Here is a 12,260-nt window from a genome sequence, read left to right on the forward strand (position 1 = left end):
TAACTGGTCTAAGGTAGCTAGTAAGAGACAAAATCCAGAATCCTAACCAAGAAATGTAGCTCCAGATCTCATGGGCTTAATTTCTCCAGGGCTCTTTATTACACAAAACAGTTTTCAGGCACAGGGAAGAATTTAGATCTGATGTGACATTTGGTCACAGCAGGGAAAGAAGAACTGGAGTACACCAGGTAGTGAAGAGGAGGAAAAGAATGACTCGCAAAGGGAATAGTACATGCAGGATCAGGCTAGTTTGAGCCACACAAGTCTGTTTCACACAAGTTGCCAAAGGCAGACTGCAGGGAGAGGAAGTTGTGGGATTATCGAGAGAGGGGCCTGGTTGTCAGGGACCTTCACTCAGAGGAAGCAAAATAAGCAGTGGAGCCATAGTAACAAGTCACAGCCTAAGTAATAGAAACTGGTTATCCTTACAATAGAAACGAAATCCAAGTCGTCAGAGAGGACTTCAGCCTTATGTGTAATGTTTGAGTGTTTATCCTCAAACGATTTAAAGGATTATATATGTATGTAAGAGTGAATACAAATTTAAAAGGGGAAAGGAAAGCTGAGATTTGTTTAAGCAGTGACTGTAAATAGGCTTCATGTAAATCTTATTTTACCATAAATATCACTTTCATGTAATGAGTTGTTAAACTATGCTGCTTCTTTTAAAAGAATATTTTTTAGGCCAGGCACGGTGGCTCACGCCTGTAATCCCAGAACTTTGGGAGGCCAAGGTGGGCGGATCACCTCAGGTCAGGAGTTCAAGACCAGCCTTGCCAGCAAGGTGAAACCCCGTCTCTACTAAAAATACAAAAATTAGCCTGGCACAGTGGCACGTACCTGTAATCCCAGCTACTCGGGAGGCTGAGGCAGGAGAATTGTTTGAACTCGGGAGGCAGAGGTTGTGGTGAGCCGAGATTGTGCCACTGCACTCCAGCCTGGGTGACAGAGTGAGACTCTGTCAAAAAAAAAAAAAAAAGAATATTTTTTAAAAAGTAAGGCAACTGACTAAATATGAACTATATTTCTAAGTATTTTATTTGTTTTCTCAGGGAATAGACTAACATTTGAGCATATATATGCAGCTAAACTCACAACTCCAACTTTTGTTGGAAGACAGACAACTAAGATGAAGGCAAAATATTTAAATGGAAATTATCAGATACTAAAAGATAACTTCAAAAACCTAAAGGGATGGTAGATGCCAGAATGACATAGGATCAGAGCCATGGTTGTTGGCTCCATTGAGCAAAAACTACACACCTTTTCAAGCTAGTTTTCTTCTTCTCACTCCCAAAGTCAATCTTTGGCCAAATATCAAGTAAGCAAAATTGATGGTTGTATTATTCCATTCTCACTTTGCTACAAAGACATACCTAAGAATGGGTAATTTATGAAGAAAAGAAGTTTAGCCGGGAGTGGTGGCTCACGCCTGTGATCCCAGCACTTTGGGAGGCCGAGGTGGGTGGATCACGAGGTCAGGAGATCGAGACCATCCTGGCCAACATGGTGAAACCCCGTCTCTACTAAAAATACAAAAATTAGCTGGGTGTGGTGGTGTGTGCCTGTAAGCCCAGCTAGGCTGAGGCAGGAGAACTGATAGAACCTGGGAGGCGAAGGTTTCAGTGAGCCAAGGTCATGCCCCTGCACTCCAGCCTGGTGACAAAGATAGACTCCATCTCAAAAAAAAAAAAAAGTTTAATTGACTCACAGTTCTGCAGGCTGTACAGGAAGCATGGCTGGAGAGGCCTCGAGAAACTTAAAATCATGGCAGAAGGTGAAGGGGAAGCAGGCATGTCTTACCAAGGCAGGGTAGGAGAGAGAGAGAGCAAAAGGGGAAGTGATATACATTTTCGAACAACCAGATCTTGGGAGAACTCATTCACTATCATGAGAACAGCAAGGGGAATACCCACCTCCATGATTCAGTCACCTCCCACCACGCCTCTCCACCAACACTGGGGATTCAACATGAGATTTGGGTGGGGACACACAGCTAAACTATATCAATATTTTTGCATCACTTCAAACCTTACCTCCATTCTTGCCTTTTTCCTGGTTTCTTCTTCTCCCATCGTCCTCAAGCCGTCTAAGCTTTCAATTAATTCATTCATGTAGTAAAATGGCTTATCTACTATAATCCAGGAAGACGCTTACAATAGGCAAGTAAATAATTCCTATCCTCTTCTGTCAAATAGTTGTAGTCTATTCGGCGGGCTGGGGTGGGGTATGTTTTATTTACTTATTATTTACTTATTTATTTATTTTTGAGACCAGGTCTCACTCTGTCACCCAGGCTAGAGAACAGTGGCATGAATATGACTCGCTGCAGCCTTGACCTCCTGGGTTCAAGTGATCCTTCCACCTCAGCCTCCTGAGTAGCTGGGACCACAGGCATGGACCACCACGCTCAGCTAACTTTTTAAGTTTTTGTAGAGTTGGGGATCCACTGTGTTGCCTAGGCTGGTCTTAAACTCCTGGGCTCAAGTAATCTTCCCACCTCAGCCTCCCAAAGTCCTGGGATTACAGTTATGGGCCACCGTTGTGTCCAGAATTGGTGGGTTCTTGGTCTAACTGACTTCAAGAATGAAGCCGCGGACCCTTGCGGTGAGTGTTACAGTTCTTAAAGGCGGCGTGTCCGGAGTTTGTTCCTTCTGATGTTCGGATGTGTCTGGAGTTTCTTCCTTCTGGTGGGCTCATGGGCTCGCTGGCTTCAGGAGTGAAGCTGCAGACCTTCGCGGTGAGTGTTACAGTTCTTAAGGCTGCGCGTCTGGAGTTGTTCGTTCCTCCCTGTGGGCTCGTGGGCTCGCTGGCTTCGGGAGTGAAGCTGCAGACCTTCCCGGTGAGTGTTACAGCTCTTAAGGCGGCGCGTCTGGAGTTGTTTGTTCCTCCCTGTGGGCTCGTGGGCTCGCTGGCTTCCGGAGTGAAGCTGCAGACCTTCGTGGTGAGTGTTACAGCTCATAAAAGCAGTGTGGACCCAAAGAGTGAGCAGTAGCAAGATTTATTGCAAAGAGCAAAAGAACAAACCCTTCACAGCATGGAAGGGGACCGGAGCGTTGCCACTGCTGGCTCCGGCAGCCTGCTTTTATTCTCTTATCTGGCCCCACCCACATCCTGCTGATTGGTAGAGCCCAGTGGTCTGTTTAGACAGGGCACTGGTTGGTGCATTTACAATCCCTGAGCTAGACACAAAGGTTCTCCAGGTCCCCACCAGATTAGCTAGATACAGAGTGTCTATTGGTGCATTCACAAACCCTGAGCTAGATACAGGGTGCTGATTGGTGTGTTTACAAACCTTGAGCTAGATACAGGGTGCTGATTGGTGTGTTTACAAACCTTGAGCTAGATACAGGGTGCTTATTGGTGTGTTTACAAATCTTGAGCTAGATACAGAGTGCTGATTGGTGTATTTACAATCCCTTAGCTAGACATAAAGGTTCTCCAAGTCCCCACCAGACCCAGGAGCCCAGCTGGCTTCACCCAGTGGATCCGGCACCGGGGCTGCAGGTGGAGCTTCCTGCCAGTCCCGCACCGTGCGCCCGCACTCCTCAGCCTTTGGGTGGTCGATGGGACTGGGCACCGTGGAGCAGGAAGCGGCGCTCATCGGGGAGGCTTGGGTGGCACAGGAGCCCACGGAGGGTGTGGGAGGCTCAGGCATGGCGGGCTGCAGGTCCCGAGCCCTGCCCTGCGGGAAGGCAGCTAAGGCCCGGCGAGAAATCGAGCGCAGCGCCGGTGGGCTGGCACTGCTGGGGGACCCAGTACACTCTCCGCAGCCGCTGGCCCGGGTGCTAAGCCCCTCATTGACCAGGGCGGCAGGGCCGGCCGGCTGCTCCCAGTGCGGGGCCCGCCAAGCCCACGCCCACCCGGAACTCCAGCTGGCCCGCAAGCGCCGCGCGCAGCCCCGGTTCCCGCTCGTGCCTCTCCCTCCACACCTCCCCGCAAGCTGAGGGAGCCGGCTCCGGCCTTGGCCAGCCCAGAAAGGGGCTTCCACAGTGCAGCGGTGGGCTGAAGGGCTCCTCAAGTGCCGCCAAAGTGGGAGCCCAGGCAGAGGAGGCGCCTAGAGCGAGCGAGGGCTGTGAGGACTGCCAGCACGCTGTCACCTCTCCCCGTGGCTGGCCTCTTGGGGGTTATAGATACACAAGAAAATCATCTCATGAGAGAACTTTTCTTTTTTTTGAGACGGAGTCTCGCTCTGTCGCCCAGGCTGGAATGCAGTGGCACGATCTTGGCTGACTGCAAGCTCCACCTCCCGGGTTCACGCCATTCTCCTGCCTCAGCCTCTGGAGTAGCTGGGACTACAGGCACCCACTACCACACCCTGCTAATTTTTTGTATTTTTAGTAGAGACGGGGTTTCACCCTGTTAGTCAGGATGGTCTCGATCTTCTGACCTCGTGATCCTCCCGTCTCGGCCTCCCAAAGTGCTGGGATTACAGGCGTGAGCCACCGTGCCCGGCGAGAGAACTTTTTTAGAAATACAGCTTTAGAAGTAAGTGTGCTAGTGATGTGAAGGCATGCGTGTAGATGAGATAAGAACCCATCTGACCAAAACCTTTCTTGGCAGTAACACATGATTTGGAAACTTACTTTTCCTTTGTTTTGTATCAAAACTATCTGGAACTACATTTCATTCTTAACAGACTCATTTTCTTTTAGGGCTAATTTGATAAGCAAATTGAAATGAAGACTGCTAATGACTTAAATGTGATCCATGTTTTAGCGGAATACTCTAATATCTGCAAAGCCTCATTCCGCTCACGATCTTCATTTGATTTGCAAGAAGAAGCCACTCTGATAATTGATGATGATCAGAGTTACACAGTAGTAATCTTTAAGAGTCTCTTTTTGGGTAACTTTTTGTGCTTACAAAGAGTGGTCTTTATAGAGAAACATGTTCAGACATGCACTGACCTTTCACCCAGGAGGAGCTATCCCAAGTCTTATCTATCCCAATTAGATCCTCTGTTTTGGAATTTGGAATTTGTATCTGGAGAGAGTAGATCAGTGAGCATCAGGCATTTAATTTGTAATGTATGTAAAGTTGGGGATGAAATGACAATGACAGTGTTTAAGTAGAATACAGAAAGCATGATTGGTAAGGAGAGACAGAGAAAGAGAGAGACAGGCTGAAAGAAGTGCCAAAAGATACTGTGGTTTCAGCAAGAGAGGGAATGTGAAAGAAGCTGTCCTGTTTTTTTGACTGTTACGAAATTCTTAATGCTGTTTCCCCATAAGGTCTGGTTGTTCTTATATCTGATGGCGTAAGATAGACCCATCTGCCTCCTGTTTTAGAAGCACTTTACTCATCTTTACCTGGTGGAACAGGATGTTGGATCCAGAGAAAAGAACAGATATGAGTAAACTCTAGTGTTTAGGAAAATGAGCTCATGTTCTGTGCACTCCCTTTCCTGTGCATCCTCTTGCTGTCAATTTTCTGACACTCTGTATCAAGGCAAAGGAAATGACTGTGGGGAAAATGACCAAGTGGCTGGTTTTAGGCTGCCTCTCATCCAGGCCCTTATCTGGAAGGCCAAAGGAAACTTTTGAACTCACATGTTGTCCAGGCCAGTTCACCAGGATTATACCTGATAGAGCTTTGTGGATAAAGCCATGGGTAGAAATAAAGTATATTTGTCTGAATTAGCCACATTCTGCTGCATATGCCCCAAGGCAGTATGGTATGATGTCTATGGTCACTGTGAGACTTAAGATTCTAGCCAACTCTCTTTCCATCAGAGACTATCTTCTCTGTGGATAAACCTGCTTCACATTGCCTTAATAAGATTACATGTGCATGAATTAAAATGTGCATGAATCAAACTCACATCACCCTCCAAGGGAAACTATCCCAATATCTCATACAGTTACTGAAACCAGAACCAAGTCCAGGATCTCTGGATTATGTACTATTCTTATTATCAAGTCCAGAGGTAGCTACCTCAGAGTGTAGTGACGTATCCTAAAAATGACAATTTATCCACTCCCAGTGCATACAGTGTACAATGGTGGGAAAAGATTGGAATAACGAATAAAAATTCCCATTCAGAAAAGAGAATGGTAAACAACACATTGATTTGTGGCATATATCACATTCCCTTGGACAGGAATATTGAGGGCTCAATATCTGACAAATGAAATGAATCAATTTATCAGACAGTATTGGACTTGTAACTTAGGAGGCTTTCCATTTGTCTATTGTCCTTCATGTTCCCTGTTTTCACTCTGTGGGAAAATCTCCTTTGTCCATTGCCCTTCGTAGGAATGTCTGCAATGCTCTTAGGGAATAATTCACATTTGAATACAGGATAGGGGGAAGCGGGGGAAGGCAGACTGTAAAGTACATCCTGTTGCCTTAATAGTCTATATTTGAGGAATGGGGAAATAGAGGTTTCCTCAGGGATTAATAGGTTGGTAATCAGAGTCAAAGATTATCTAGACTGTTAAATCTGAGATTTACTTCTGTCTCTGGGCTCTGTTCACCCTTCAGTCAACCCACAACCTTAGATTTAATGGCCTTTGTTTCCATCTTGGTTTCTTTCTTTGCAAGCATATTGAGACTGTTTTATAAGAAAAGCTCTTCTTAGAATGCTAGAGGGGTTTATTATTGTTGTTGTTATTATTTGTAGATATTAACACCCTCGCTCAGAAATAGGTAGAATAACTAGTCAAAAACTCAGTAAAGGCATAGATGATATGAATCATATTATCTACCACCTTGACTTCACTGATATTTATAGATCACTACAGCCAACAATTGTAGAACGCACCTTATTTTCCTGTTTTTCTCCCCCACAAAACATGAATGTAGAATGTACATTATTTTCAAGGGCAGATATTACATTCAACAAGATAGAACACATTCTGGGCCATAAATTAAGTTTCAATACATTTAAAAGGATTGAAGCCACCTGTGTACATTCTTTGACCACGAGGAAACTAAATTAGACCTCACTAACAATAAGATATCTAGGAAAACATTGCACATTTGGAAATTAGACAATATTCTTCTAAGAGACACATAAATAAAAAATCACAAGAGAAAACAGAAAAAAATCACAAGAGAAAACAGAAAAAATATATTTTGTATGAATGGTTGTTAAAATATCAAATACTGAAAGTTGTGGAATGTAACTAAAGCAGTGTTTACAGAGGAATATGTACATTTCAATACTTATATTAGAAAAGAAGACTGGTCTCAAAGCAATAACTTAAATCAGGGATTAGCAAATTACGGCCTGCATGCTTATTCAGGCTTGTCACTTATGTTGTAAAAAAAAAAAAAAGAAGAAGTTTAATTGGGACATATATGGTCTATGGCTACTTTTGTGCTACATTGGCAGAGTTGAAGATTTGCAACACAGGCCATATGGCCTTCAAAGCATGAAATATTTAATATATATACCTTTAAAGGAAAAGTTTATTGATCCTTAACCTAAAGTTCTACCTTAATAAGTAGATAAAGAAGACCAAAATATATCCAAAGTAAGTAGAAGGAAGGAATTAAAAATAAGAGCATGTCACAACAAAATAGAAATCAGAGAAGGAAAAGAGACAATACCTAAGCTGAAGAGTGATTTAATATCTGAGTAATCAGGTCTGGAAGAGTAATGTTGACAAGACACAGGGGTCTGCTACTCAAGTAAACTTCTTGGAAATCATGTGAGTTGATACCCAGAGAACAATCACTGAGTCTCTTACAGAGAAACTGTTGTCCTTAAAAACTCCAGCAAACAAAAAGGGGGCACAACATCTGGTAGCTTTGTTCAGGTATCCTAGAGACTTCATGCATCTCATGGGGATCCTCATTAATTCACTATGGAAGATAACTTGAAGCCATTTTTGAGTGAGGTCTTTACCAATAACAGGTCCTACAAACTATCCAACAAGCTGCATATATTTCTCTCACTAGACTGATAAAGGGAAAAAATAGCATAATGAAAGAGAAGTTATGGATACAGATCTTACAATTTCCTTAAACTGACACAAGAAGATACAGAAAATCTGAATAGCATTTGTTTTGTTTTGTTTTGTTTTGTTTTTTGAGACGGAGTCTCCCTCTGTAGCCCAGGCTGGAGTGCAGTGGTGTGATCTCCGCTCACTGCAAGCTCCACCTCCCGGGTTCACGCCATTCTCCTGCCTCAGCCTCCCGAGTAGCTGGGACTACAGGTGCCCGCCACTACGCCCGGCTAATTTTTTATATTTTTAGTAGAGACGGGGTTTCACCATGTTAGCCACGATGGTCTCGATCTCCTGTCCTCGTGATCTGCCCGCCTCGGCCTCCCAAAGTGCTGGGATTACAGGCGTGAGCCACTGCGCCTGGCCCTGAATAGCATTTTTCTATCAAAGAAACTGAACTCCCCCCACCCCCAAACTCCAGGTCTAGACAATTTAACTGGTTTATTTTATCAATCTTTAAAAGAAGAAGTAACATTAATCTTATACAAATACTTTTAAAAAATATAGGTAAGGAAATTCCTTAATTCATTTTTAAGAGCCCACCATAACATCAAAACTCATCAAAGGCATTACCAGAATAAAACTACGGGTGAATATTCCTCCTAAATTTTTATGCAAAGAGCTTTAACAAAATATTAGCAAATTTAATCTAGCAATATATAAAAAGAACAACACATTGTGGCTGAGTATATTTTATCCAAGGTTGGCTAAATACTTGAAAATCAATCAATGCAAATCACCATATTATAGCTTTAAAGGTGAAAAGAATGATAATTTCAATGGACTAAGAAGAAGTTATTTGAAGAAAGTCAAATACCACAAGTTCTTACTTATAAGTGGGAGCTAAATAGTGTGTACACATAGACACAGAGAGCAGAATAATAGACATTGGAGACTCGGAAAATGAGAGGGTGGAAGGGGGTGAGGGTGACAAATTGCCTATTGGGTACAATGTACACTATTCAGGTGATGGTTACACTAAAAGCCCAGACTTCACCACTATGCAATAATACATCCATGTAACAAAACTGCACTTGTACCCTATAAATCTATACAAATAATTTTTAAAAAGCATTTGAAAAATTCCAATATCCACTCCTAAAAGAAATAAAACATTTCAGAAAATTACCCTTAATTTGATAAAGAACATATGCAGAAAACCTGGTATCATACTTAATGATGACATTGTGCATATTTTCCCTTGAAGATGGAGAACAAGGCAAGAATGCTCTACCCAGCATCATCCTGGAGATCTCGGCCATTCACAAGGCCTTTGGCAACTAAAAGAAATAAATTTAAAAATCACTAGAAAGGAGAAAGTAAAACTGTCTCTAAAGACATATTACATGATTCTTTATATTAGATAATCCTAACAAATCTACCTCCATGACAAGAACTAATAAATGAATTTAGCCAAGTAGAAGAATACAAGGTCAATAAACAAATGTAAAATTAAATATGAAAAGTTATGCCATTCAAAAATCACATTGACAAAGGACACCTGAGAATCAACTGAAAAAATTATATGCAAGTCCTTTATGCTGAAAGTGATAAAATATTGAATAACAGAAACTACAGATATTAATAAATGTGACTGTATACCTTGTTCATCTTGTTCATGGATCAAAAGTCTCAATATTGGTAAGACAATTCTTCCCCTATCATCTATAGATTCTAAACAGTTCTAAACCCTAATTCTAGAATAAATTTTTATAAAAATTGATTAGCTTATTCTGAATTCTACATAGAAATTCAAAGAACCAAGAACATAAAAACAAATTTTGAAAAAGAAAATACAACTCTACTTGTTATTTACACACAAGGACCATCTTTATGTATAAAGGCCTTTAAATACCTCAGTGGTTAATTTGGTGGGTGCAGAATTTGTGGCTGTGTATGTTTTATTAAAGAATCCAACATTGATTAACTATTTGAAAATCAATCAATGCAAATCACCATATTACAGGTTTAAGGGTGAAAAAACATGATAATTTCAATGGATTAAGAAAAATCATTTGAAGAAATCAAATACCACAACACAAGTTCTAGTTTACAAGAATTTTCTGCCCTCACCAAATCAACTACAGAGGTAATTAAATTTGCACAATATACACAATTATAATGATAATTTATAAGTAATTATAGCTTTTTAGTTACACTTTGCCTTCTCTTTTGTATCTCCCTTTTATCTTGGGAAGCAGACTACATCAGGTTCTCAGCACCTTAGTTATTATGAAGGATATTTATTTATTTTTAATATTTCTTCTCAATGACACATAAGGTAGGAAAGAATGATTGATTGAACATTACAGCAGAGGACTCAAAACACTGAATGTGAGATAGAGATGTATAGAAAGGCATAAGAACACTATCAAAAGCATTTAAAATAAATATTGCCTACTCTAAAATTTTATTAAAGTCTAATCCCTCATATCAGGGGATGGGATATTTTGACCAAAAACAGTAAAACTTCCTAAGAATGCTTTTTCAGATATTACTCTTCCTAGAATCCCACTCATCAGCACTATTCAGAACAGAGTTGGGCTAAAAGCTAGGCTTGTTTATCGTTTAATTTTTACCATATCACCTGAATTTTTTCAAATATCAGGTAAACTGGAAAAATACTTACAGGAAACAAAATTGAAAGCTATCCTACAACTATTTTCTTTTTAGAACTGTGTCCATGAGAAGCAATTAATTTTGTATAATCACATTTTTATCTTTTGACATTTATATAATTGCTTTTAAGTCAGTATTATGTTTTAGAAGATGAAAGTATGTTACCCTACTACCTAAATTTGACAGAGATGAACACATACTGTGAAATGAATCACAAGAAACTAAGTATTTAATTGTACTGGATTTGTAATCTTTTCAACTCTTTGATTTCGGATGGACTGAAATTTCAGTGTTCTAATGTCCCCAGTGTAATCTTGTTTCATTTAATTTTGGTGACATAACTTGGCTCGAATAAATAATGTAGATTATAAGAATATAAGCATTTTGGTGAAGGTGCCTCTAAATTTCAGAAACAGAGATGGCACTCTGTAAGAATTACAGATGCTACATTGTGTTATTAGGTTGCAAGGAAATTAGAGTATTAAAATCATGGCAGAGGATATTTCATAAAATACAATTTTTTTCCATACTAGAAAAAAATATTTTCTTAAGCTTACTCCTAATTTATTTATGTAGGTTTCAATTTTTTATTAATTCTTATAGAAATATATGATCATTTAAAATGTTACCTCTTAACCAGAATTTATATTCCAAAGAGACAAGTTTAATAATCATTTAAAAAATTAATAGAACATGATTTCGATTTATCTCTAGCTTTTATGTGTCTTTTTATCTTATCTAATTAATCCTCTTTTGCTAGACATGTAATTGCCTCTAATGTTTGCTCTTGCAGAAATAAATTATCTGAGTAAAGAGGTGTACATGTTTTACAATGAGATAGATTTTGTCCAGTTGTGCTCCAAAGAAGCTATACTAGTTCATACTCCTGCCCAAAATGTATAAGGATCATTTTCCCTGACATATTTACCAACAATAAGTTCTACCAGACTTTGCCTACTCTATAGGCAAAATATAATATCTTACTCTTATTGTATTAATCATTTATCTTTCTTTAATTCTTTGATGGGCTGGATAATTTTTTTTTTTTTTTTGAGACAGAGCCTCACTCTGTTGTCCAGGCTGGAGGGCAGAGGCACAATCTCAGCTCACTGCAACCTCTGCTTCCCGGGTTCAAGAAATTCTCATACCTCAGACTCCCAAATGGCTGAGATTACAGGTGCATGTTACAATGCCTGGCTAGTTTTTTAATTTTTAGTAGAGACAGGGTTGGCCAGGCTGGTCTCGAACTCCTGGCCTCAACTGATCCACCCACCCCGGCTGGCCGGCTGAGTAATCTTTATATGTTTATGAAACCTATTTGATTTTTTCATTTCAATTGACTGTTCATGTCCATTGGCTTTTTTGGTCTAGTGTGTTTTCTTTTTCTCATTGATTTTTAAGGAGTTCTGTGTAATGTTAGATATAGTTCTTTTATGTTCTTTTTAGAATGGGGCATAATATTTTACACAATTACTGGTAAATAGATAATGCTATTTAAAACTTTTAAAAATTCGTTTAAATAATTTTGTTTAAACAAATTTATCAGAATTGTTAAATAAAATTTGTCTAGCATGAAATTGTGGATAATTTCATAAGAAGGAAATGAACTATATATTCTTTGAATGTCTGTTTTGTGTTAGAAACTCTGCTATGTGCTGTTGTGGGGTGGGGGGAGGGGGGAGGGAT

The 12,260-nt window shown here is 40.3% G+C and overlaps 3 annotated features.

Annotated features, from left to right (window-relative positions):
* Positions 1,060-2,259: an enhancer, noted in NCBI's record as "BRD4-independent group 4 enhancer chrX:113511303-113512502 (GRCh37/hg19 assembly coordinates)". NCBI's record gives its function as "activates an origin of replication core promoter dependent on BRD2, P300/CBP, MED14 and CDK7 cofactors, and independent of BRD4, by STARR-seq in HCT116 cells {active_cell/tissue: HCT116}" and the evidence as "EXISTENCE:reporter gene assay evidence [ECO:0000049][PMID:35650434]".
* Positions 3,140-3,641: an enhancer, noted in NCBI's record as "H3K4me1 hESC enhancer chrX:113513383-113513884 (GRCh37/hg19 assembly coordinates)". NCBI's record gives its function as "activates a minimal SCP1, AML or CMV promoter by ChIP-STARR-seq in primed H9 embryonic stem cells {active_cell/tissue: H9 hESC(primed)}" and the evidence as "EXISTENCE:reporter gene assay evidence [ECO:0000049][PMID:30033119]".
* Positions 4,264-5,463: an enhancer, noted in NCBI's record as "BRD4-independent group 4 enhancer chrX:113514507-113515706 (GRCh37/hg19 assembly coordinates)". NCBI's record gives its function as "activates an origin of replication core promoter dependent on BRD2, P300/CBP, MED14 and CDK7 cofactors, and independent of BRD4, by STARR-seq in HCT116 cells {active_cell/tissue: HCT116}" and the evidence as "EXISTENCE:reporter gene assay evidence [ECO:0000049][PMID:35650434]".

This window comes from Homo sapiens, chromosome X, assembly GCF_000001405.40.
Source record: "Homo sapiens chromosome X, GRCh38.p14 Primary Assembly".
Classification (NCBI taxonomy): Eukaryota; Metazoa; Chordata; class Mammalia; order Primates; family Hominidae; genus Homo; species Homo sapiens.